Source organism: Homo sapiens, chromosome 20 (genome assembly GCF_000001405.40).
Source record: "Homo sapiens chromosome 20, GRCh38.p14 Primary Assembly".
Taxonomy (NCBI): Eukaryota; Metazoa; Chordata; class Mammalia; order Primates; family Hominidae; genus Homo; species Homo sapiens.
The window spans coordinates 20,243,751-20,268,205 of NC_000020.11; the positions used below are offsets into that span (position 1 = coordinate 20,243,751).

General features: G+C 43.2%; 1 protein-coding gene, 1 long non-coding RNA gene and 1 pseudogene across 3 annotated transcripts in view, besides 2 other annotated features; 1 reads left to right on the plus strand and 2 right to left on the minus strand.

Annotated features, from left to right (window-relative positions):
- CFAP61 (cilia and flagella associated protein 61) overlaps positions 1-24,455 on the plus strand; it is a 308,167-nt gene that overhangs the window by 191,219 nt on the left and 92,493 nt on the right. The window contains exons 19-21 of the mRNA NM_015585.4: positions 2,367-2,465; positions 7,845-8,013; positions 19,206-19,380. Of these exons, the coding sequence (NP_056400.3) occupies positions 2,367-2,465; positions 7,845-8,013; positions 19,206-19,380 (443 nt within the window). The remainder of the gene's footprint in view (positions 1-2,366; positions 2,466-7,844; positions 8,014-19,205; positions 19,381-24,455) is intronic.
- Positions 4,995-5,244: an enhancer, noted in NCBI's record as "active region_17606". NCBI's record gives its function as "activates an Ori minimal core promoter by ATAC-STARR-seq in GM12878 lymphoblastoid cells {active_cell/tissue: GM12878}" and the evidence as "EXISTENCE:reporter gene assay evidence [ECO:0000049][PMID:35858748]".
- On the minus strand, positions 9,553-10,088 carry RPL17P1 (ribosomal protein L17 pseudogene 1; annotated as a pseudogene).
- CFAP61-AS1 (CFAP61 antisense RNA 1) lies at positions 10,800-24,087 on the minus strand. Of its 2 annotated transcripts, none has more exons than NR_183979.1 (4): positions 23,744-24,087; positions 15,948-16,046; positions 14,604-14,809; positions 10,800-12,411 (listed from the first exon to the last, which is right to left on the minus strand). It is a non-coding gene; the product is annotated as a CFAP61 antisense RNA 1 (long non-coding RNA). The 2 variants fall into 2 exon arrangements; NR_183978.1 differs by having other exon boundaries at positions 14,604-14,864.
- Positions 23,316-23,816: an enhancer, noted in NCBI's record as "H3K4me1 hESC enhancer chr20:20247710-20248210 (GRCh37/hg19 assembly coordinates)". NCBI's record gives its function as "activates a minimal SCP1, AML or CMV promoter by ChIP-STARR-seq in naive H9 embryonic stem cells {active_cell/tissue: H9 hESC(naive)}" and the evidence as "EXISTENCE:reporter gene assay evidence [ECO:0000049][PMID:30033119]".

A 24,455-nucleotide genomic window follows, 5' to 3' on the forward strand; every position in this document is an offset into this window, starting at 1 on the left:
ATCATTATAGCATTAACTCAAAAGTCCACAGCCTAAAGTCTCATCTGAGACAGGGCAAGTCCCTTCTGCCTATGACCATGTAAAATCAAAAGCAAGTTAGCTACCTCCTAGATACAGTGGGGGTACAGGCATTGGGTAAATACAGCCATTCCAAATTGGAGAAATTGGCCAAAACAAAGGGGTTACAGGCTCCATGCAAGTCCGAAATCCAGTGGGGCAGTCAAATCCTAAAGCTTCAAAATGATCTCCTTTGGCTCCATGTCTCATATCCAGGTCATGCTGATGCAAGAGGTGGGTTCCTATGGTCTTGGGCAGCTCCACCCCTGTGGCTTTGCAGGGTACAGCCTCCCTCCTGGCTGTTTTCATGGGCTGGCATTGAGTGACTGTGGCTTTTCCAGACATACAGTGCAAGCTGCTGGTAGATCTACCATTCTGGGGTCTGGAGGAGGGTGGCCCTCTTCTCACAGCTCCACTAGAAGTGCCCCAGTAGGGACTCTGTGTGGGCGCCCTGACTCCACATTTCCCTTCCACACTGCCCTAGCAGAAGTTTTCCATGAGAGCCCTGCCCCTGCGGCAAACTTCTGCCTGGACATCCAGGCATATCCATACATCCTCCGACATCTAAGTGGAGGTTCTCAAACCTCAATTCTTGACTTCTGTGTACTCACAGGTTCAACACCACATGGAGGCTGCCAAGGTTTGAGGCTTGTATCCACTGAAGCCATAGCCTGAGCTCTACATTAGCCTCTTTCAGCCATGGCTGGAGTGTCTGGAATGCAGGGCACCAAGTCCCTACACTGCACCCAGCATGGGGACCCTGGGCTCAACCCACAAAACCACTTTTTCCTCCTGGGCCTCCAGGCCTATGATGGGAGGGGCTGCTGTCTCTGACATGCCCTGGAGACATTTTTTCCATTGTCTTGGGGATTAACATTCGGCTCCTTGTTACTTATGCACATTTCTGCAGCTGGCTTGAACTTCTCCTCAGAAAATGGGATTTTCTTTTCTATTGCATTGTCAAGCTGCAAATTTTCCAAACTTTTATGCTCTGCTTCCCTTATAAAACTGAATGCCTTTAACAGCACACACATCACCTCTTGAATGCTTTGCTGCTTAGAAATTTCTTCTGCCAGATACCCTAAATTATCTCTCTCAAGTTCAAAGTTCCACAAATCTCTAGGGCAGGGGCAAAATGCCACCAATCTCTTTGCTAAAACATAACAAGTGCCACCTTTACTCCAGTTCCCAACAAGTTCCTCATTTCCATCTGAGACCACCTCAGCCTGGACTTTATTGTCCATATCGCTATCAGCATTTTGGCCAAAGCCATTCAACAAGTCTCTAGGGAGTTCCAAACTTTCCCACATTTTCTCATCTTCTTCTGAGCCCTCCAAACTGTTCCAACCTCTGCCTGTTACCCAGTTCCAAAGTCGCTTCTGCATTTTTGGGTATCTTTTCAGCAGCGCCCCACTCTACTGGTACCAATTTACTGTATTAGTCCATTCTCATGCTGCTGATAAACATAAGCATACCCAAGACTGGGCAATTTACAAAAGAAAGACGTTTAATGGACTTTCAGTTCCACGTGGCTGGGGAGGCCTCACAATCATGGTGGAAGGCAAAGAGGAACAAGTCACGTCTTATATGGATGGCAGCAGGCAAAGAGAGAGCTTGTGCAGGGAAACTCCTATTTTTAAAACCATCAGATCTGGTGAGACTTACTCACTATCATGAGAACAGCATAGGAAAGACCTGTTCCCATGATTCGGTTACCTCTCACCAGGTCCCTCCCACAACACGTGGGAATTATGGGAGCTACACGATGAGATTTGAGTGGGGACACAGAGCCAAACTATATCAATGGTCTTCGCAAATTACTTGCTTCAGTTCCACCTAAAAAAAATAGGGATAATAGTATTACTGACCTGACTGGATTCCTGTAAGGACTAGATGGGGTAATGAGCCATGCAAAAGGCTTGACTGGAAGCAGTCATCAGGGTTAAGCTGCGATTGTTATGCTTCCAAGCAGTTTATTATTAATAGAAGTAGTCTAAAATTTAAACTTCATACTAAATTTACCTCCCTCCCAATTTGTTTTAGTTTTACTTTGAAAAGCACATTTTAAAAACCTGTCTCATTACTAATGTGTAGCTTTTTGGAAGATTCTATAGTTAGCAGCTCCAGCGCCATCTTCCTTTTTTCCTTGAAATGGTTGGTTCTATCTGAAGGTTCGTGCAAAGAATTAGTAGCTCCAAAAGCAATTCAACAGTTGGATGACACGTGATATAAAGTTAAATTGAATTATGATAAACTTTTGCTAAATTGCACTTAACTGCTTGTTCTTTTTCATTTTTCTTTTTCTTTAGCTCTCACATGAAGTTTAATAATCTTACCCTGATTTCAACTCATGGACTCCCAGGAAAAAAACTTCTGGACACTGAACAAAGGAAATTTTTAGCCAGCGAGTATGAATTGTATTTGCTTTTTCATTCTGAGGCCTAAATGTCCTACTCTGTGTGCAGTCTATTTAATGCTAAATAGTAGATTTCAGATTGGAAAAGGAGAAGTGGTGGGGCTTTTCTACTGGAGTTCAGACATCACTTAGGAGATACAAGTACCAGTGTGTTCACAAGCCAGTGGCCAAGAGTGGCAGGCCAGGGCCACCAGTTTCTATCCGTGGGAAGACATCTGCCCTGTTCCAAACAATTGGGGTGGAGCCTACGGACCCAGCCAGCCCTGCCTTTGGGCTCTGAGTGACACTACAGGGCAATGAAGGTTGGTGACTACATTTGCATCTGACAGGGCGCCTGGCTGGGATATGGGTCCCACAGCTACCCTGGCCATTTGTACTCAGCAGCTGATCAGGCAAAGAACTTCCATGCCAGTCTGGGTGAGCTTTATTGTCTTCATCCCAGTAGAATCACTATTTGACAACATCTGTTCTGGAAAATACCATGTCTTTATCACATAGCTTTCATTCATTTTAATTTCCTGTAGCAAAACATGGCTACAAGAAATATTAGTTTCTCTGCCTCTAGAAACAAGCTCCTAATTTTTCCAATAAGGAGGAAGGAAATTGTTCCCTCCCAGGGGATTCATTTTAGATTCCATGATGAAGGGACCCTCTTTCCTCTGTGAAAAAGACTCATTTTGCCTTCGAACAATGAGAAAAAACACAACTTCCTTGCCAGCAGAACGGGTTCGTTTCCACTTTATAATTTTATCAGACTATAAACTTTTTTTTGAAGGATGTCCTTATGATACAAAAAAGGGCATGGGTTTGAGCCAGGAGGATGTGGATTCAGATCCTGCCCCTGCCACGAAGGGCCTGGGCAAGGAATTTCATTTCTCTGAGCTTTGCTTTTTTTGATCACGAGCAGTACACGAGAAGCCAAGCTTGCTGGATTTTTTGTTAAAATTAACATAACACCAACTTCTGGCCAAGAACACATTCTCTCCATTTCCCTCTTTCTAAATTACACGATTCCCAGGAAATGCTGGTTTTATTGGCAAATGTCTTAAGAGGAACTTAATTCCATCAGCGTAGTGAAAGTTTCCCTCAATCCCATGTTGCGTGTGTTTCAGGAGAAAACAGCTACCGAGGGGGCTTTCTGCAGGTGTGACGCTGCGTGGGCAGACTGAGTGGGTGGAAGCCACTGGCGTCCCTGCTGCTGTCCCTGCCTCCACAGTCTCAGCACAGCAGCCAGAGCAAGGCTGCGGAAAGCTGGCTCAGATCACATCGCCTCCTCACCGCCCAGAACTGCACTATCCAATATGGTGGCCACTAGCCACGTGTATTTACATTTAAATTATTAAATGAGATGAAAAAGTCGGCTCCTCACATTAGCCACATGTAGCCAGTGGCTACCACATTGGATAGAACAGATAAGAACATTTTCATCATCGTAGAACGTGCTGTGATGCTCCAGCCTAAACTCTGTCTCCATCTACTTAATTCTCCAGCCTCACCTTTTATTATTTTTGCCCTTTTTCTCCCCATTTGAGCCACACCAGCCTCCTCGATGTTCCTCAGATGCAACGGGCAAGTCCCCACCTTGAGGTCTCTGCTTTTTGCTCTTGAATGTTACCTTTTCTATGAGGTCTATCCTGACCACACCATTCATTTGAAGCCAACACCCCAACACACTCCAGTCCCTCATACTCTGCTCTGTTTTTTTCTTGCTACTTAAATCCTCCTAAATATTGTATTATTTGCCTTTTGAAATAATGTTTATTCTTCATATTTATATCCAGAATCCTTCAACTATAATATAAACACCACAAGGGCGGAAATTTTTGCCTTTTTATTCATTGATTCATTGATGTATACTCAATACCTGGGTCAGTCCTTGGCACATAGCAGATGCCCAGTAAATAATGTGGAACAGAGGAAAGTTACCTCCAGAAATACCTGCAAAACTCCTCTCAAGCAAGTGTTAGGGTCTAAATAACACAGCCAGACCCCTTTGCATGGGTAACTGCATGTCATCACATTTCTTAGAAACCACATATTTCAGTAAGATTGAACCATAAATAGGAGATGTCTTTCAAATGGTCCTCATAACCCCAATAAAGGAAATTATCTCTGATCATGGGGTTTCAAAATAACAGGTGCAAATGACATTCATAAATTTAGTAATTTAAATCCCTGATTCCAAATACTAATTTTGAACTTGTCGTTAACCATTGTTTTAATTTATTATTGTTAGAATTTTTGAACCATTTCTGTCTTCTTTCCCACCGCCCCCATCCAGCCTCTTGTGGAGGTGCTAATGGCATGTCTGGGATGCAGCCGAAAGGAAGGCAGTGGGAGAGGAGAAGGAACAGGAGGCAGGAGAAATCCACTAATTGGACAATCAGCACTGATTAATTGAAAGTTAATTGTGATAGTCCTTTTTCTAGGAGTGTCACAATTAATCTTTTATGAGAATTTCTAAGGTTCTTTCCAGCTCGGAAGAGTCATGATTCCACGAGGTGCAGGTCTCCACTGACTCATCTGTGGCCCCCAGAGCTTGCTTCTAACTGCACACCTGGAGCTTTGGACTAGGCTTTTGACCACAAGGTTGGGGGCACTATAACCTAGAGCAAGCTGCTACTCATCTATGCCCTCTTCCAGGAATTTCCCCGTCCTCCATTTTTGCTTTTTGTTTTTCTCCTCCTTATTATCTGTCTTCAGAACTTTCTATGAAGACAGTCTTTCACATTAGTTTTGAGTCACGGTCAAGCTCACTTGAGGAACAGGAAGTTTCACTGATGTGCCTCCTTTGGTTCCTTCTCTGTTTTCGGATGAAGCCTAGTGGAGGTATTTCTCTCACCACCAGGCCATGAGTCAGGCCCTGCTATGTTAGAATATTAAAGCTTATTCATTCTACTTAAAAAATAATTTTGGAAAAATATCACTTACAGTCTTCGATATATAGTTTCACTCAACTGGTGAGGAAATTAAGGAAGGTCCAGAATGGATAGTAATATCCAGAATGGGTAGCAATCACTTATACAATGATATTTTAAACTGAGAAATGGCCAGGTAATCCCAGCACTTTGGGAGGCCAAGGTGAGAAGATTGCTTGTGCCCAGGAGTTGAAGACCAGCCTGGGCAACGTAGGGAGAGTCCCATTTCTACAAAAAAAAAAATTAAATTAGCCAGGTATGGTAGCTTGCACCTATGGTCCCAGCTGCTCGAGAGTCTGAGCGGGGAGGATAGCTTGGGCCCAGGAGGTCAAGGCTACAGTGAGCCATGATTGTACCACTGTGCTCTAGGCTGGGTGACAGAGTGAGATCTTGTCTCAAGTAAATAAAATCATTCAATGTAGTAACATATTGTAACAGCAATCACCCCACATTCTTCAACACTTCCTTTTGTGACTTAGTAAAGTTTCCTAAAAATCAGTGGTCCCCAGTGCCATTCCCACTGGACAGAGCTTCACATTTTAACTCTCAAATATGCATTCTGATGTGATCAATGCTACTGTCCTGCTGTCATTAAAAATATCATTGTCTTTGCCTTCCACAAATTTCCCCTGAGAGCCTTTATCTTTGGGCACAGCCTCATAAAATGAATCCCTGTGCACTAACTGTATTTAACTTTTCCTCATCGTGGATGGCTTAGAGTAGGGATCTGGAGCAGATAAAAAACAATCTTTCATGGGTCTCTCACAAATGTGGGAAGCCATGACATTTCCTGTATTCCTATAAAGCTAATGAAATGGTTTTTACAAGAGAATTTCCTCTCACTATCCATTATTTTCCTGTGATAGGCCAGTCCCCGATTTTCTTTTCTTATTAAGAAGAAATTTTCTTGTTTTTAAGTTGTTTCACAGAGCCCTTTCACAGGTCCTGTAACAAGGTCTAATATGCCCCCATGACTAGAATTCTCTTTGTGTGGTAAGACCAGGCTTATGCGCAGATCAAAAGGAAGAAATGTTCCCTCATTACCACTTCAGAATCTTGTTTGCCTCCAAAGAGAGTAAACAGGGTTCTGTCTCATTAATATTATTTAGAATAATACTCTTCACATACGCATCCTGCCTAACAAAGCAGCCTGTCTTACATTCTCACGGTCACTCCTTATAGCGGTCAGCAGTGGAGGAACGTAGGGAGAGCTCATTACCCTGTGTTAAGAGGTGAGGAAACTGAAGACAGCAGGAGGATGCAGAGTCCAGGCTTGTCAGCAGCACAGACCATGGCAGGGTTCTTTTTGAAGAGGACTGTGCTGCCAAGCATAGAAGTGGCGCGTGCCTCCAGTCCCAGCTACTCAGGAGGCTGAGGCAGGAGGATCACTTGAGCTCAGGAGTTTGAGACCAGCTTGGGCAACATAGTGAGATCCTGTTTCTAAAAATAAATAATAAATAGATGAATAAATAAAAATGTTAGTGTTTTTATGTTAAGAGAAAAAAGGAAGAAAAGAATCATACAGCCTAAATTAAAAGAAGCACTTAATGTCCTATTACCTTAGACTCTCAGTATTCAGAACAGAATCACTAAAAGGTGGTTTACCTGAGGTCAATCCTTTCAGAAAATTCTGGAAACAACCCTCACAAAACTGTTTAAATAAACCCAAAGCCACAAGAAACCCACTCTTATCATACTACGTGAAAGCGCTCAAACTCCAAGAGAGCCCAGAAAATGGAAGCCAGTGCAGCCACAGCACGCTGAAGCCATGGCATGAATGGCCGCCCTGGGCCTGCTGGCGGTCGAAGTCTCCGTTCCTAGAAAATCACCTCTGCCCTGAAGGGTGAATCCCAAAGTCTCCAGGGAGTGTACTTGCTGCGAACCTAACTCCCTAATTGCTATATTCTTGAAGTAAAATGGGTTTTGTTGTTTTGGCAGGAAGCCATACGCTAATTCTCAGAATGAGTGATTACTGAAAAGTATTAGCGAATAGGAAGGGTTCTCGGTATTCAAAGATTCTGACCCCTGGCTTTGGGAATCCTCAACAATGTCACTTTCTTCCTTCTCATTCCCATTGAGGCTGTGGTCAATACACCAATTTAACAGCTAAAGTAAATTTACAACCACTCTGAAGTAGAAGCAGAAGAAAGGTATAGTATGAGTGATTTCACACACACACACATACAGATAAACACACACACACACACACACCCCTCCCACCCTCCCAGTTGTGGGCTGACCTAAGCCAGGTGGAACAATTTAGCTTTAATGGGAAGATGTCAATTTGTAACTAAGTGTTTCATAACGAAAAATCTCCTAGTATCAGTCCTGGTAAACTCACAGCAAGAGCACGGACTCAGCCCACTAGGGGACTTGAACCAGCTCACCAGATGTCTAATTAATGCCCGCTGTCAGCTGCTCAGATGTCACTTACGGAGCTTCTCTCTTTGCAGCCACTGTTTTAATGATAAAGATTATGCACTGATGTCACTGTGCTCCTGGGTTAATGTCGTGGTGGGTAGAATGACCGGCATAGACCGAGCAGCCAAGCACGTTGTGCTTTCCACGGACGAGATCGTGCCCTACGACCACCTCATCCTCTGCACCGGGCAGCAGTACCAGGTAAGGCCGGGCACAGGGGGCGCAAGCCACGTGTCTGGAGAGCTCCATGAAAGCCATTCATATGTTTACTGGGGCACACACACTCTGGGTAAAGAGCATCCCTCTGCCTGGACAGCTGCTGCTCTAAATTCATAAAAGCACCCTTCAGGGCCCGCACACATAACCAGAATTATGTCCGCAAACCCTCCCAGAAACCCATTCCAAGAAAAACATTCTGCTCGAGGATAAAAATCACAGCAAGTTGGAGAAATGTCATTCTTTAAGCTGTTGTCCAAAAGTCTAACACATACTGCTCGCCCTAGCAGAATCCAGACGCAACCAGGCATGCATTTGTGGTAAATTAATTTATGCCTCAAGAGGCTAACATTTGGCTGTGGCAATGGGCTCTCGCAAAAGTATTGCAAACACGTGCACCTTCTGTCGACCCTTATTTTATTTTGTCTCTCAGTTATGAAAATAGGAAATCTGATTGATTGGTTTCCCAGTGTCCATGCTTTCCTTTTAGTTAAACTCTCCATCCACATTTGAGTAAAGCATTGCTGGATAACACTGAAGCTGTTCAATGTCTTAGGGCAGCAGATTTTAATATTCCACTTTGTAATATGCATGAGTGTTTCATGTAGTTTACAGCAGTAAGGTATTTCTCCAGTGACAAGAGGCTTACTCTAACTCAAGGATGAAGTCTTAGACCAAGTTTGTGAAACCCATGGCCCATGGGCCCAAGGTGGCTTTGAATGTGGCTCAACACAAATTTGTAAACTTTCTTAAAACATTATGACTTTTTTTTTTGCAGTTTTTTTTCTTCAGCTTATCAGCTATCTTTAGTGTTTGTATATTTTATGTGTGGTCCAAGATGATTCTTCTTGTTTCAGTGTGGCTCAGGGAAGCCAAAAGATTAGACACCCCACTTAGACCATCTTGTGAATAGTTGTGGGATTCGATGCGAGCCTGTGTATGACAGTTTTCCTTCACGTCGCCAAGCGCAGAGGAGGCAGCGCATGAAGGAGACAGGGTCTCCACCTGGGTGTTGCCACAGAATGTGCTCAGCAGCTCTAAGCATCACTTACCCTATATTTTCTGCCTTGGCCGCACATTGAGATGACCTGGGTGCTTTGAAAACACATCCATGCCTAGGCTCCGCCCCCAGAGGTTGTTTTAATTATTCTAGGGTGGGACCCAGTCATCAGTATTTTTCAGGTGCCCCACATGCTTCTAAGCTAAAGCTGAGAACCACAAGCTTGCACTTTCTTGACTAAGAATTCCTCATCTATACCTTAGAATAGCACCTCTCAAACTGCTGTGCACATGAATCCCCTGAGCTTCTTGTTAAAATGCAGATTAGGAGCAGGAGGCCATGGGATGGGGAGCCTGAGATGCTACATTTTCTTTTCTTTTCTTTTCTTTCCTTTTCTTCCTTCCTTCTTTTTTCCTTCCTTCCTTCCGTCCTTTCTTCCTTCCTTCTTTCTGTCCTTCCTTCCTTCCTTCTTTCTTTCCTTCCTTCCTTCCTGTACTTTTAATTCCATTTATTGTTGGATGAGTCTATTCCTGTGCCGTAAGTTTCCATTTCTTCAGTTTCTTCTGGGCTATCTTTTTCTTCTGCGCAGCCTCTTCTGGTTTAGGAACAATTTGTTCCTTTTCAATAAGGCTCATCTCACTGTGGCAGGCAGAGCTCACACATGGGTTAACCTGACCCTGAGCTCTGTGAGTCTGGCCACACATCTTGGGTACTTTGTTCACCTGGCTATGCTCAATGACCAGAGAATCTACATGTAAACCCTTACGTTCAGCATGACTCTGCATTTTTAAGCATGTGCAGCAAACATTCAGCACTCTTTTTGGGCCACTGACCCTGTGTCCAGTCCCACTGTTTGGCCTGGACGCACCTACCAACTCCACCTTTGTAACGTCAGAATGGTACACACTGTCTCTGTCAAGTGACATCTTTCAGATACTGGGTGGCTCTTGATATATGCATACCCTGACGGCCTGAGCAGTTTCACAGGTGTTCTTCAATGAACACGAAGATTTGAACCTCTCGATTTGCCTGAGTTCACATTTCCACAGATTGTCAGGCCACTTAGGGGAACAGGAAGATGTTACATTTCTAACAAGCTCCCGGGTGAGGCCAGTGCTGCCAGTGAATGAACAACCCTTTCAGTAGCTTGGATCAACCTCTGAAGAATCTCTCTCCTCCCCTCCCCTCCCCTCCCCTCCCCTCCCCTCCTCTCCTCTCCATTCCTCTCCCCTTCCCTCCTCTCCCCTTTCCTCCCCTCCACTCCCCTCCCCTCCTCTCCCCTTTCCTCCCCTCCACTCCCCTCCCCTCCTCTCCCCTTTCCTCCCCTCCACTCCCCTCCCCTCCCCTCTTCTATCCCCTCCCCTCCTCTCCATTCTTCTCCCCTCCCCTCCCCTCCCCTCCCCTCCTCTCCTCTCCTCTCCTCTCCTCTCAATTCTCAAAGGGTATAAAAGGATATTTTTATGGTTAAAGGATAAATATTTACTGCAGGGATACTTCGTTTTGATATTTAAGTATTCCTCTGACTTGTTAAAACATTAAACCCGACAGAAATGCCATATGCACCCCCTTAGCTTGTCTTCCTGTCACCTGCCTGCCAGGTTCCAGCTGCTGCCACGACTGCGTACTTTGGAAACTGAGTGGAAGACCCAGCCAGCTGCCCAGAGCCTCGGGCATCTGCCCATGTGTGCCCAGCTGCCCCTGCAGCTTTACTCTGTGGCACATTAAGCTCTTGCCCTTTTTACAACGGAAAAAAAATGAAATGAAGAAGTGATAAAGGGAGTTCCAATTTAATTTTTCCAGAAGGACATAAAATCAAAGTACATAGAGTGGTACAGAAAGGGCAGCTGAATTCACTGGGGAGCTTTTCTCCCCCTTCCCCCATTGTCTTCAACTCTCTCCTGGTTTTGTCCCAATTTTGTGATTTTCTAAAAAACAAATTAAAATAATGAAAACAGAGCTTAAACCCAAAGCAAGAAGACAACCCTCTATAAAATGTAATGACAAACCGCAACCTCTAATCAGACCTTTTAAATGGCACGCCTCACTCTAAATTGTTGTGTAATGTTTTTAATATCCAAATGCACATCGCTATTTCTTATTACAAAATCCATGCACAAGGTAAAATACTACATTGCACTGCACGGCTAAGCATGAGGAGAGCTGGTCTCTCCCAGCCCACTCTTCCTCCCAGCTCTCTTTCCAGAGGCAACCAGTTTGAAGCATTTCTGTTCTTAGTTTTTCAGTGGCTACCTGCATAACTCCAAATACAGTAATATGTTTATAGAATGTCCTTCCTTGCTCTGTCAACTTCAGACATTATCTACAACCTCTCCATTTTCGAAGATGAAGATTTAGCTGGCTCACTTTCCAGACTCTATAACTCCTTCTCCAGCCCTCCAATCAATGTTGATCATTTTTGTTGGCAAACACACTCTGGTTTTGAAAACCCCTCTGAGATCACAGGGCCACTCTCCATGACTCATGGACGGTCATGGAGCAGCAGAGAGATGCCTTCCCCAGGCCTGGATTTGAGGAACCTCATAAAGAGGAAGAACAAAAATGTACCAACTGAAATCAAATGAGCTTGGTGTTGAGCATGAGAAGACTGTGGTATGGACTGTTCATGGGTCGGGGGTCACTAGCAGCTGACAGGTAGGGCAGGTACTTCCAAGCAAGCAAGAAGAAGAGCTGAGACTGTAGTATACAGTGAGCTTGATGTGGGTCGGCAATGTTACATTGTCTCCAAAGGGGTTAATCATGTCTTAGACTGGGTCAGTAATAGTGTGGCATCCAGAATGGTGCAGCCCAGGTGACAGCCTTCTACACACAGCAGGGAGGAAAGACCCATCTACACCAGTGCTGTACCTCCCAGTAAGAGACCTGAGAAAGACACTCCCCCGTGTCATTTGACAGCACCTACTATATAGAGATCTCACTCTGAGAATGATTACAGGGGAAAATAAAAGCATGCAGTCAAAGAAAACTGGCTGTTTTAAAAATGGCTGCAAATTCTTTGATGCCTCTTCCATCTAAGAGGTAGAGTCTATGTCTCCTCTCCTTGAATCTGGGCAGCCTTGTGACTGCCTCGGCCAACAAAGTGCAAAGGTTGTGACATGGTGTGACTTCTGAGGCCAAGTCACAGAGGCCATACAGTGCCTCCTGGATTGTGGCAGCAGTCGCTCCTGGAGTCCTGAGGTGCCACGTGAGAAGTTCTGATGCCCTGGGGTTGCCACGCTGGAGACGCTGTAGGTGAGCTCTCTGCCTCCCAGGCCCCACTGATCCCAGCCCTTCAGCCAGCCTTGCAAGGCACTGGGCATGTGAGTGAAACAATCTCAGATCCTCCAGATCAGTCCATCCACCAGCTGAAAGTTGCCAAGTGACTCCTGTCCACAGCACACAGAATAAAAGAATTGCTCATCCAAATGCTACCCAAATTTCTGACCAACAAAATCATGGAAAGTTAAGAAAGTAGGTATTTAAGCTACTAAGTTTTAGTGTGAGTTTGCTGAACAGCAAAGGACAACTAGAATAAAAAGATAACACAGTAAGAGAAAGAGAACAATACAATATTTGGAAAAATCAGAGGAAGAACATAGTTGTGAAAATGTTGAAAAATTTAGGCCACACACACACACACACACACACACACACACACATTGTAGGCAACTATTTATCATCCTTTATACAATTTGATCACCTGGCCTCTGAAATGGGAGCTGAAGCCATTGAAAGAGCAGAGGCAAAGCTGAGAAGGCCACACATAAAAAAGGAGATGGGTGAATAAGAAAAAATTAAAATGAAATCTCCATCAGAGACAGAACTGCTGCTAAACAGTTAGTGATGCTGAAGACAAAGCACTCCTGGAGGGCAGAAGCAGAGGACAAAGGGATATGCTTGGTTCAGGAGAAAACAGGGTCTGATAGGCATGGAGGCAGCATAGAAATAATTGGTTTTCCTGAAGAAGAGACTCAAGGGACAATAATTGAAGATATTCTAGAAGAAAACTTTTTTACCCGAAAAACATATTGTCCAGCTGACCACATTCTAGGCAAAATCAAAGAAAAATTTTCTCAGTTATGTTCTGACAGAATTTCAATTCTTTCTTAGTCACCCATCTCCCTTTTTGTCTAACCCTGTGGCCTTCTTAGCTTAGCCTCTGCTCTTCCGATGCTTCAGCTGCCATTTCAGGGGCTGGGTGATCAAATTGCATTGAGGATGATAAATAGTTTCTCATAGAATGGCAGGAAAAAATTGAACAAACTTCAAAAGAAAAATAACAGATTACAACCTTTCTCCCTAAAAAAGAATAAAAATAAAACAGATATCAAAATTTTTATCTCCAGCATTAAATAGCAAAAGAAAATGAAACTAATCCCACAGAATTTTGACGAAAAGTGGTGATTCAGTAATTATGTGTCCACCTAAATCTCTCATATTTGAAAATAGCAGGTAGCCATTCTTTTATATACAAGGCCTCAGAAAAAATTATCTTCCGTGTTCTTTGCTTAATGTGCACTCAAAATAATTGAGATAGAAAAGAAAAATTAGAACTTCAGCCAGGCGTGGTGGCTCACATCTGTAATCCCAGCATTTTGGGAGGCCAAGGCAGGTGGATCACTTGAGGTCAGGAGTTCGAGACCAGCCTGACCAACATGGTGAAACCCCATCTCTACTAAAAATACAAAAATTAGCCAGGTGTGGTGGCAGGGTCTTGTAATCCCAGCTACTTGGAAGGCTGAGGCAAAAGAATCACTTGAACCAGGAGGCAGAGGTTGCAGTGAGCCGAGATTGTGCCACTGCACTCCAGCCTGGGCAACAGAGCAAGACTGTCTCAAAAAAAACAAAAAAACAAAAAAAAAAAAGAAAAAGAAAGAAAGAAAATATAGAATTTCATAGTAGTACAAAAGGACAGGTGGCAAGCACCACAAACAATTTAAAAATGTAATCTAAATAATTGTTGTAAATCTGAGAATAAATGCAAAATAGAAAATGACTCTTAAGCTAAATTAATCTAATAAAGACCAAGAAGTTGTTGAAAATTGGGAGGGAGGTGGCAAGGGAGGAATATGCATTGTCTTAAGGGGAGAAACCCAAGAGTACTATTTCAGTGTTGACTCTTATATTTAGAAGAAATAAGATTAAAGAATCCTTTGAAACAGCATGAAGGAATTCACCTTCCCAACACTGCAGAAGATAAAAGGGAGAAAACAAAGGAAAACAGACACAATGGTTAAAAGTGAAGGTGTAAACCAGAATGACATAAGGAGAAAAATTCAGTGAGTGTCATGGGTGGATTAGGGTTAGGGCTTCAAACCACCCTGTTATAAGAACCAAGACTCTGTTTTTACACTTAATTCAAAATATAAGAGAAATACCCAATCAAAGGGCAACAAAAGCTTAAAAATAAGAAGATGGTTCAAAGTGCACCAGCAAAAGACTGTCAGGCAAATTTCACACAGCTATTAGAAACAGCAATAATATTAGTGCCCAAGAAAGTGAATTGGAGAAAGAAAAGCATTAATCTTGATCAAGGGTAAAATCCATGATGAGAATATAGAGGTCATGAACTTTTTACCTGCCGAACATGGTTGTATCAGAGGATGGCCACAAAAACAGAAGTGTACTTGCAATATGACCTTCGTTCCTTGGAGTCCCACTGAAGAAGGGAAGGAACAAGCTGAAGCACAGCGAGGGAGGGGCTCCGTCACTCCAGATGCGCAGCCAGAGGAGTGAAGATTCAGGGTGTGCAGGATGGCCAGCCAGTCTTCAAATACTTGAAGACTTTTCATATGGAGAGCGAAATTAGTCTTGCACATGATGGCTCTGGGAAACAGATCTAGACAGGCCCCAAAAGTGATGGGAATGCAGTGTTTATTCATCCCGAGGAACAGCTTTCCGATAGAGTGAAAGTCTACTCCAAAGAAAACGGTCAACCCTAGGAGACAGGAGCCTGCTGCCAGGCAGCCTCAAAGCGGGAGAGCACCTGACTGCCGTTGAATGTTTACCGCGAGACAGACACATGGTAACAGATGGAACTCTCACCATACACTGAGGTCACTGCCATTGGCATCCCCATGTTGTAGGTTAGAGAACCGAGGGTGCTGTGAAGCTTAGGTAGTTTGCCCAGGGTCAGTTAGTAGGGAGGTGATAGACTAGGGTCCAAACTCAGGTGGTCTGGCCCTGGATCAAGCACTGTCTCTGTTTCGTTCTCTTTCCCTCTCCTTTCCCTTTCTTGTTGCTTCCCTTTATCTCTCATTGACATGGTGCAGGGCTTATACTTGATGGCTTTTAAAAGTCATTACCACAGAGATTCTAGAGCTTTGTATTTACAGCTACAGTCAAATAAGCAGTTCAAAAAGAAAAAGTTTATTTCCTTCTCTCATTAAAAATAAAAATATCTGGAGAAAAGCAACCCAGGCCCGGTAAGGTGGCTCCCTGATGTCAACAGGAACCCAGGCCCTTCCATCTTTTTTTTTTTTTTTTTTTTTTTTTTTGACAAGTTCTGACTCCTGTCACCCAGGCTGGAGTGCAGTGGTGCAATCACAGCTCACTGCAACCTTGACCTCCCCGGCTCAGGTGATTCTCCTACTTCAGCCTCCCGAGTAGCTGGGACTATACAGGTACATGCCGCCAAACCCAGCTAATTTTTTTTTTTTTTTTTGTATTTGTATTTGTAGTAGAGATGAGATCTCCCATGTTTCCCAGGCTGGTCTCAAACTTCTAGGCTCAAGGGATCCGCCTGCCTCAGCCTCCCAAAGTGCTGGGACTACAGGTGTGAGTCACCATGCCTGGCCCTCTTTCTATTTTTAATGTGTGGTTTCCATTCTCAGCATCTCAAGATGGCTGCTGTGTTCCAGTCATTCCATTTGCAAGAGGCAAGAAAGAGGAAGGACTAGAGCATGATGACTTTTCTCATTACCTCATCCAAGGACTCCTGCTTGTATCTCCTGACCACCTCTTAGGTCTTGAGTTGGGAAATGCAGTTTTTCAGCCGAGCATATTTCCCAAGAGTCTGTTACTAAGAAAGGAAGGAAGACAGAATATTGGGTTAGGCAGCCAGCAGTCCTAGCCACCGTGAGTTATTGCTGAGTGATGGTGGCACTGTGCTATGGCAAATCAGTGTGGTTGAAAAGTTATCTGCTGCTCTCCACTCAGAAGTTAGTGGCACTTTAGTTAGTGGCAGAGAACCCTCAGTTTGGATAACCAGTCCTTGTGGCACTTCATTAAATATAACCAAGCCCTTATATTAAAGACTGTTCTCTCCCTTGCCTCTTTTACCTTTTCAGGGCTAGTGACCTCTCTTGACCAACAGGAATGTATGGGTGTAAGAAACTTCTGCTAGCTTCTTCTAAATGTCTGCCTACAAACTCCTCTTAGTGTTTAAATCTGCTGTTCAATGAAAGAAAACAGTATGTGATGAACCATTCAGAAAGGAAGCTTCTTTTTACTTTTCAGGCTGGATAGCTCTGTGTCCCCATAAGCACACATGGAAGAAGGAAATTTCTTGTACTGGCTTCTTCTCAATGTCTCCATACAAATTCTTTTTCTGCTAGAAGCTTCCATTCAATGAAAGAACACAGTAAATGATGAACTGATCACAAAGCAAGCTTCTTTTTCCATAGATCGTTTTCTAATTAATTGATGTCTCCTAAACTCTGTGCAGACAAATTTATTTGGCTTTGGAATTTATAATTCTAGCTTCAGTTTTGCCTGCTTTGTGAAAATGCCATAATCCCATTAGTTTTTCTTTAATTGCTCTTATTCTTTATAGTAGAGAAGTATGCAAAACAACTCTACACATTTAAGTGCACACAAGAATTATGTGGATTATCAGAATGCAATTACATTTCAAGATTGTAGTGAGCTAATTTTCAATTTGGACCTTATTCTTTTTTCTCCTCTTCCTTTTTATTTTTGCCTAAACACCACTACTTGAAATGATAACTCATTGAAACTTTTATAAATGAAGTAGCTCTCAATTTGTTCTTTAGCACTGCCACTTTCCGCCAAGGCTTTTTCACTTGTTAAATCATGACTTATTAAACTGATGTAATGTTACCCAGATTTTATTTTCTTTTATGCTACAATGCTCCTTGTAGTTCCAGTGAGGTTTCAAAAGCCCGAAGCACAGTATTCAGTATTGTGCACGTCAGACTTTTCGCCAAAGCCTTCAGTGGGCTGCTTTATAATAACTATGAATATAATGCTATCAACATTTTAGTGGGGTATTACTAAACGAGCTATATTACTAATAAGAAAACTTTACCTCTGCAATTTTGGTTACAGTAAATGACCATTATTTATTTAGTTGTTCCCTTTTGCTAAATACAATTTCACTGCAGCCTCTTAATGGAGAGAGAATATCCAGCTTTAAACATTGGTTCTGTTTTGCTGTTTCATTTTAATTTAATCTAGTTTGAAATTGCATTAAATACATCACGGCAATGTACTAAGGCTTTACAATTTCTATTGAGGAAGTGTATAACCAAAAGTTTCCTGTCAGCTGGAGGTTAGTCAAGCCCCATGAGTTTAAGCACCAGCCAGCATTTGCCTGCTTGTCAAAGGAGAAAGAACTTCCTCTGCCCCAACATCCCTCTTGACTGCAAGTAAACTTATTGCCTGTCATAACTCTAGGAGTATTCTTGCCTCACAGCCCTGAGGTCTTAGACCCTGAGTGCAGCAAGCCAGTGGGTATCTGCCAAAGGCCTCAGGCTCCCTCTAGGCTGCCCCTCTGCTTGCCCCCTTTTTCTCCTCATAACTGCCACCTGGCAGCCAATTAAAAGTCAGAGGGACCAAGTGGTGGCCCATTTGGGGAACCTCAGGTCACTATGCTGTTTTATTTGGTTTTTGCAATGACACTTCTTTGTCTGATTTTAATTTGAACGAATATAATAAAAAATCAGGAGTCTACATGAAAACCCAAGGGCCTGGCATTTCTTGGGAAGTCAGATCTGGCCATACTGGATCCATACTCTACACTGGCAGCAACTAGATGGAACTCAGTCATGGCTGAAATCTCTGGCCCAAGCACAAACCCTCCAGTTTGCCACAGTATCCTTGACAAAGAAGACGAGTATCAGCTATCATCCGTTATTGTGTTTTTACTGTTACTTTCCTTACAGTAGAGGAAAGTTTCTGTTCCCACACACATCTGCATCAAAAATGAGAGAAAGATGGAGGGGAATAAAGAGAAGGAGAATATTTCTCTGACAAGACAAGGAATAATCCTATACTTTTCAAAAGTAAATAATAATCTGTTTCTTTCCTTTTCTTTTCTGCCTAGCCCCTCTATATCCTTAAATTTCAACCCCAGATACAATTTCTGTGGCAGATTATTTTTGCCAAAAATGGCCACCACATCCAATGCATTCCCATGTCCTCTTCCAGAGCCTTGCCCCTCCTACATGAAGAGGTGGAGTCTAGGTTCCCTCCCCTGGTCCTGGGCAGGCCTTTATGGCTATCTCCATGAATCGAATATGGTGGAAGAGGCACTGCTCAACTTCCAAGACTAGGTTGGAAAAGAATATGGACCTCTCTCTATTGGCTCTCTCTTTCTCAGAACACTTTCCCTTGGAACCCAGCCACCACGTTATGAGGAAGCCCAAGCTACATGGAGAGGCCACATGTAGGTGTTCTGGCCAACAACCCCAGCTCAGATCCAGCCCTTAGCCAACATCAACTGCAAGGCAAATCATGACAATTTGTTGTCACATTTGAATACCCAGCATATTTTCCAGGGGAAAGAAAAAGGATTGAGATAGTTTAATTATCTTCAGATGATTTCAGCCCCCAGCCCCTGAGTCACCCCTAGCCTTTGAGTCTTCCTAGCTGAGGCCCCAGACATGGTGGAACAGAGACAAGTCATTCCCCACCTTGCCCTGTCTGAATTACTGTCCTGCATAAGCTGGGAGCCTAATGGTTGATTTTTACCACTGAGTTTTGAAACAATTTGTTACACAGCATTACATAACTAGAGCAACTCCCTCTGAGAATTGTTTCTAGGTGCTCTTTCCACCTGTTTTTGTGTTTTTTTTTTTTTTCAATTAAAATCTGATTGATTGTATCTCGGGACAGAAAAAGACATACTGAATATTGCTATGTCTACTTTTTTTTTTTTAACCACTGTCACCACTTTATCTATTATCACTGAAATAAGCATTTCTCTAACATGCTTCAGGTCCCATGCCCTACAGAGGCTGATATTAGTCAACACCTGACAAACAGGGAGGTTCCCAACAGCAGTCAGCGGCGGTACACGGGGAAAGTTCCTTGCAACCATTTCACTCTCAACGAGGAAGAGGATTGCTTTAAGGCACTGATTTGGATAAGGAATAACTCCATCACCACAGAAGGTAAGGATGTCGGTAACTGTGCATCTCTTCAGAATAGCGTTTTATTTTTATAATGAGTCTCATTCTTCATCTAGTTCCAGTATATAATTAGTGCCTAATTAATTCCAACCAAATCATTCATCTGTCATGCTTTGTTTTCCAGATTAATTTACAACTTGTTGTCATTTTTGGATACCCAGCATGTTTGCTGGGGGAAAGAAAAAAGCTTGAGATAGTTTAATTATCTATAATTATTTTATTATACAAAATGAATATCCGAAGAGCAAAGCATGGCTAAAATCATTAACTAGTTAAAGAATAATTTAATAAGCAAACATGTTTAGCAATTATATGGAAAATATGTCTTCTTTTGTGAAACTGAAAAGACCTAGGAAGAAAAAGGCCTGTATTGGAAGGGCCTTTTCTTCTTTTCACAACCCATTGTTCTCTTTCTTGGTGTTGCCTGAACAGTTCTTCCCACAAATACACAGACTCGAGTTGCATGCCACTTTTTAAATCGAAATGAAAAAGGGAAACATTTGTGCAAATGCCTCTGCCACTCAAAAGTGTATTCTCAAGCATCTTTCTATTGCTTGAATTTCATTGAAATCATTCAGCTAGTGAAACAACCAGAAGAGAGCCTGGCTACCTTTGTGTCTTTAATTGAAACCTAGGAGTCAAGGTTTGGAGATAACTTAGAGCAGCCCCTTTCTTTTGCCTAAAAGTGAGAAGATGGTTAGTGACCTGGTTGAGTTCCACAGCCACCTGTGGTTTAGAGTTCAGTCCAGGGATGTAAAACCACTAAGTGCCCAGAAAGTGAGCATCACTGTGTAAAATTAAACATGCTAATTTATTTAATACATGTATATAAATATAATCTAATTATATTTGTTAATACATTAAAATTAAATATAATTTATTCTGATTTTTGGTGGACCATTTAGGTATTAACTTTTGCCAAGTTATAACATTTACTGCATTAAGAAGTTACTAATTTACTACATTCAACATTTTAAAATGAGTATCAAAGGGCATTCAGTGCGTTGCTGGATTCAATTTGCTGATACTATTTATAGGCTATTTGCCTCTAAATTCATAAATGAGATTGACCTGTAGTTCTCTCTTTTATGCATTGCTTGTCAGGTTTTTGGAATCAAGGGTATGCTAGTCTCACAAAGCATTTTTGGAAGCTCCCCATATTCTTTGGGGATCTGAAATACAAAGTAACTTAAGGGTTGCACAGAAATTACCCATAAAACCAACTGAGTCTGGAACCTTTGGGTAGAGGTGGGATATATAGATAGATTATACCGGCAACCCAGATTTTTTAAATGTCATAAAGTATTTCATACTTTCATCCAAGCTTGGAATTATTTTCAGTTTTGCATCTATGTATGTTTAAACCTGTTTTAGCCTTTTAGTCATTCTGTAGTAATCACCCCATGATCTATGTAGACTCAGAGTATTTTCTTATCAGGGAAAATTCTCTAATCCATGGGTTGGTGAATTTTTACTGTAAAATACCAGTAAATATCACTCTGGGGGGCCAAGGTGAGAGGATCACTTGAGCCCAGGAGTTTGAGACCAGCCTGGGAAACACGGGAAAACCCCACCTCTACAAAAAATACAAAAATTAGCTGGGCATGGTGGTGTACACCTGTAGTCCCAGCTACCTGGGAGGCTGAGGTGGGAGGATCAATTGAGCTTGGGAGGTCAAGGCTGCAGAGAGGCATGATTATGCCACTGCACTCCAGCCTGGGTGACAGAGCAAGACCTTATCTTAAAAATTTTTTTTCTTTTAGACTTTGCAGGCCATATGGTCTCTGTTGCAACTCTTCAACTCTGCTCATTTAGTGAGCAAGCAACTATAGACAATATGTAAATGAATGGGCAGGTTTGTGTTCTGATAAAATTTATTTATTAAACCAGACATGAGCTGTAGTTTGTAGTAACCAGCTTTTAGCCATAACATTTTTGACAAATCATTACCATTTCATGAAGTCCAGACCTCCAAATGTACCATAAGTTCCCCAAAAGCAGAAAAGCCAGTGGTTCAAGACAAAATGCACAGTTCATCTTTAAGACTGCACCCAATCCTGTCAGCCTGCAGTGCTGTGCTTTAACTTTGAACCTTTGTGTGTTTTGGTTGTTTGGGCTAGGGAGCATTTGACCAAGAAAAGAGCCTTCGAAAGTGGCACTGCAAGGTCTTAAGGTGGAATATTGATAGCAGAGAATTTAGAAACCCCAAAGCAAGAAGCGCTGTAGTCTCTTTCATGTGCCTTTGTATTGTCCTCTTGGTTCTCAGATGGAGGAAGAGCATCAGTGTTATTCTGCTGACTTGCCCAGTTGTCAGGGATGGTGATGCTGTGGTGCCCCCTTAAAGGGAAATGTTTTTTCAAGATTTAAGACTGACTCCCAGCAGCCAGTGCATAAAGCCATTTGGAGTGCCTGCTTTTGTCCACCAAATAGCCAGGATAAGAAGTATGTGGAAATTAGTTTCCTGTCTTACATGTAGGTGATTTTCTCCAGGTCTGGTGCTTAATGACTCCCCCAGGCACCTCTCAGGTAGGTGCTCTTAACACTGAAATGCTAGGACCAAGCTCTGGGAGCCTTCAGGGAAACCTGACCTGGCCAAGTTCATTTAACTCTGTGTAGAGGCCCTTTTCAAGTAAATTCTCAAGTAAAAAAAGTTAAGAAAAAATGTTAACATCTTGCCTTAAAAAAACTTTCTCCTCTTTGTATCTTTTCTGTAATCCAGGTCATACTCAGACATAACTTTAGTCCCATTCAGACCTTATTCTTGCCATTATTATTCTTGCAGCATCACTGGATCACAGTCCAAATCTCAGAGCAGAGGAGGCCTAGGACAGAAAGCCCGTCCCCACCTGAGCCAAGAACCAACAACCACAGACAGAATTATACCCACAGAGGCTCCCAGGAAATGCAGCAAAGAGTAGGATCCAGTGTGAGAGGAGGCCTCGAGGTAGAGCCTCCTAAATAAACCATTGGCTTCTCTGGCAGGCTGAAATACATTTAGCTGGGAGGGCATTCCATATAGAAATACAAATTCATGCCAAATCACTTCAGTCACCTTGTGACCTCTATTTCTTAACTGAGACTTTGGGTATATGATACTTGAGTTTCATTGCTGGGCTTTCAAATCCCTTTTCATACTGCAGAAAGCCTAGTGATCTTTCCAGAACTGCATTTTGAAAAGAATATAGCTGTTGCAGCATTGCTTCTGAGACATCTACAGTACCATACTTGGCTGAAGCTCCAAGCCATTTCTTTGATAATTTCAGCTCTACTCTATCTCAGTGTCACTTGTATCCAGCATAGTGCCTGGCACATAGTAAATGCAAAATAAATGTTTTACTGAATGTAAGTGAAGACAGTTCAGGATGTAACTCTTTTCCTTACCTCCCACATGGTGAGTTTTATCAAAACTTTTTGCATTCGGCCTACCTGGAAATAGATGGTCAATTGAGATGAAGACAAGAGAACCCTTGAATGAAATTGAAGCTATTCTTTAAAAATTCATCCTTAGTAATGAGAGTAATAACATGCTGGCTACACAGGATGAGTTAAGCTCCTCCTCACGAATAACAGACATTTATAAAGTCAGTCTAGCTCAGGTTCTGGAGTCACGTGACTTGGGTTCAAATCTTGGGTCTGCCGTTTCCCTGGGCAAGTTACTTAACTGCTTTGTGTCTCAGATTCTAGATAATATCTACCTCACATGGGTTGCTGAGAGGGTGAAAAGAGATAAATGAGATTACATGCCATACTCAGGACAGTCTCTCATACATAGAAAGAGTTTCATAGAGGCTGCCATTAGCATTGCTCTTACTTCTATGTGTGATGGAATTAAAGGTACCCTAGAGTAGAAGTCTCAGCCCTTGCCACCAGGGCCCTGATGAAGTTGAGGATATCAGTCTCTATTTAAAGACAGGGATCCGTGTACACCAGGTGCCAGTCAGCTATAGAGGCACTGTGGCCTTCAGGAGAGCCCTGGAGGCTGTGAAGTTTGGAGAAGGCCTCCCCGAGAAAGGAGGATTTGAGCTCAGTCTTGAAGAGGGACAGGATAAGAAGAGAGAGAGGCTGGGGGAGTTTGGATTGTGTCCAAAAGACACTGGGCCAACAACGTGGGCTGGGCAGAGTCTGTGAAGGGCAGCAGCAGGAGATGAAGCCAGAGGCATGGGCAGGGACAGACACTGGCGGGCCGCAAGCACCCAGCCACGTCCAAGTTTAACTGGTTACCTTTTAGGGATGGGAGCTGACCAGGCGGGTGCCGCTGTACACACATAGCACTTTGGGAAAATGGCCTTTCCATCTGTAGTACCCATGCCAGCAGAGAGAAGGTGACCACGGGAGAATGGCTTACCATGGATGGCAGTAGCCAATAGGGGCGAGGCAGCTGTGGATGCAGGAGCTAGCTGGAAGTGGCCACCCTTGCTGCATGTGGTGGTCTTGCTGACACAGCCACTGCTAGCTTATTTCCAAGTCAGCGATGAGATGGTGGTGTTGCAGGGCTTTTCCGTAGTTCAGCTAAAGATGGGGTCCTTGTCCGTCCCGTGGCCACGAAAACGTAGCCTCGCAGACGGTTTGAAGGGTGAGTTAAACAGGGTTTTACTGGGTGAAAGGAAAAAAATGGGGTGGAGGAGGGGGAAGCAGGATCCTCCGCAAGGCAAGCCGGCTACTTGATTCCCAGGTTCCACACAGGAAGAGGAGGGGCCAGGCTCCTCCCCACTGCAGATGGCATGCATTTCCGGAGGCTCCACCCCAATGTGCAGGCTGGTTGGAGTTTTTCTAGGGACTCCCTCCCACCTGCCTGTCTCATTGGCATTTGAAGCCAGAAGCTAGAAGTCTGGCACATGATGGAAAGCAAGGAGCAGGGCTGTGCTTATGCACGTTTGAAAAGTCGCATGGAGCCATCCGTGACCGTCCTGGACATTTCAGTCCTTGCTTTTTCTTCATGTCACCCTAATAACACCAGGAGGAATGTGGACAGTTTTCATCATAGTTTATTTTTACTCCCTCAGTGCTAATTTCCCCTTTTTTAAATACTTTAGCATGTGAGTTGGGGCAAGGGAGCC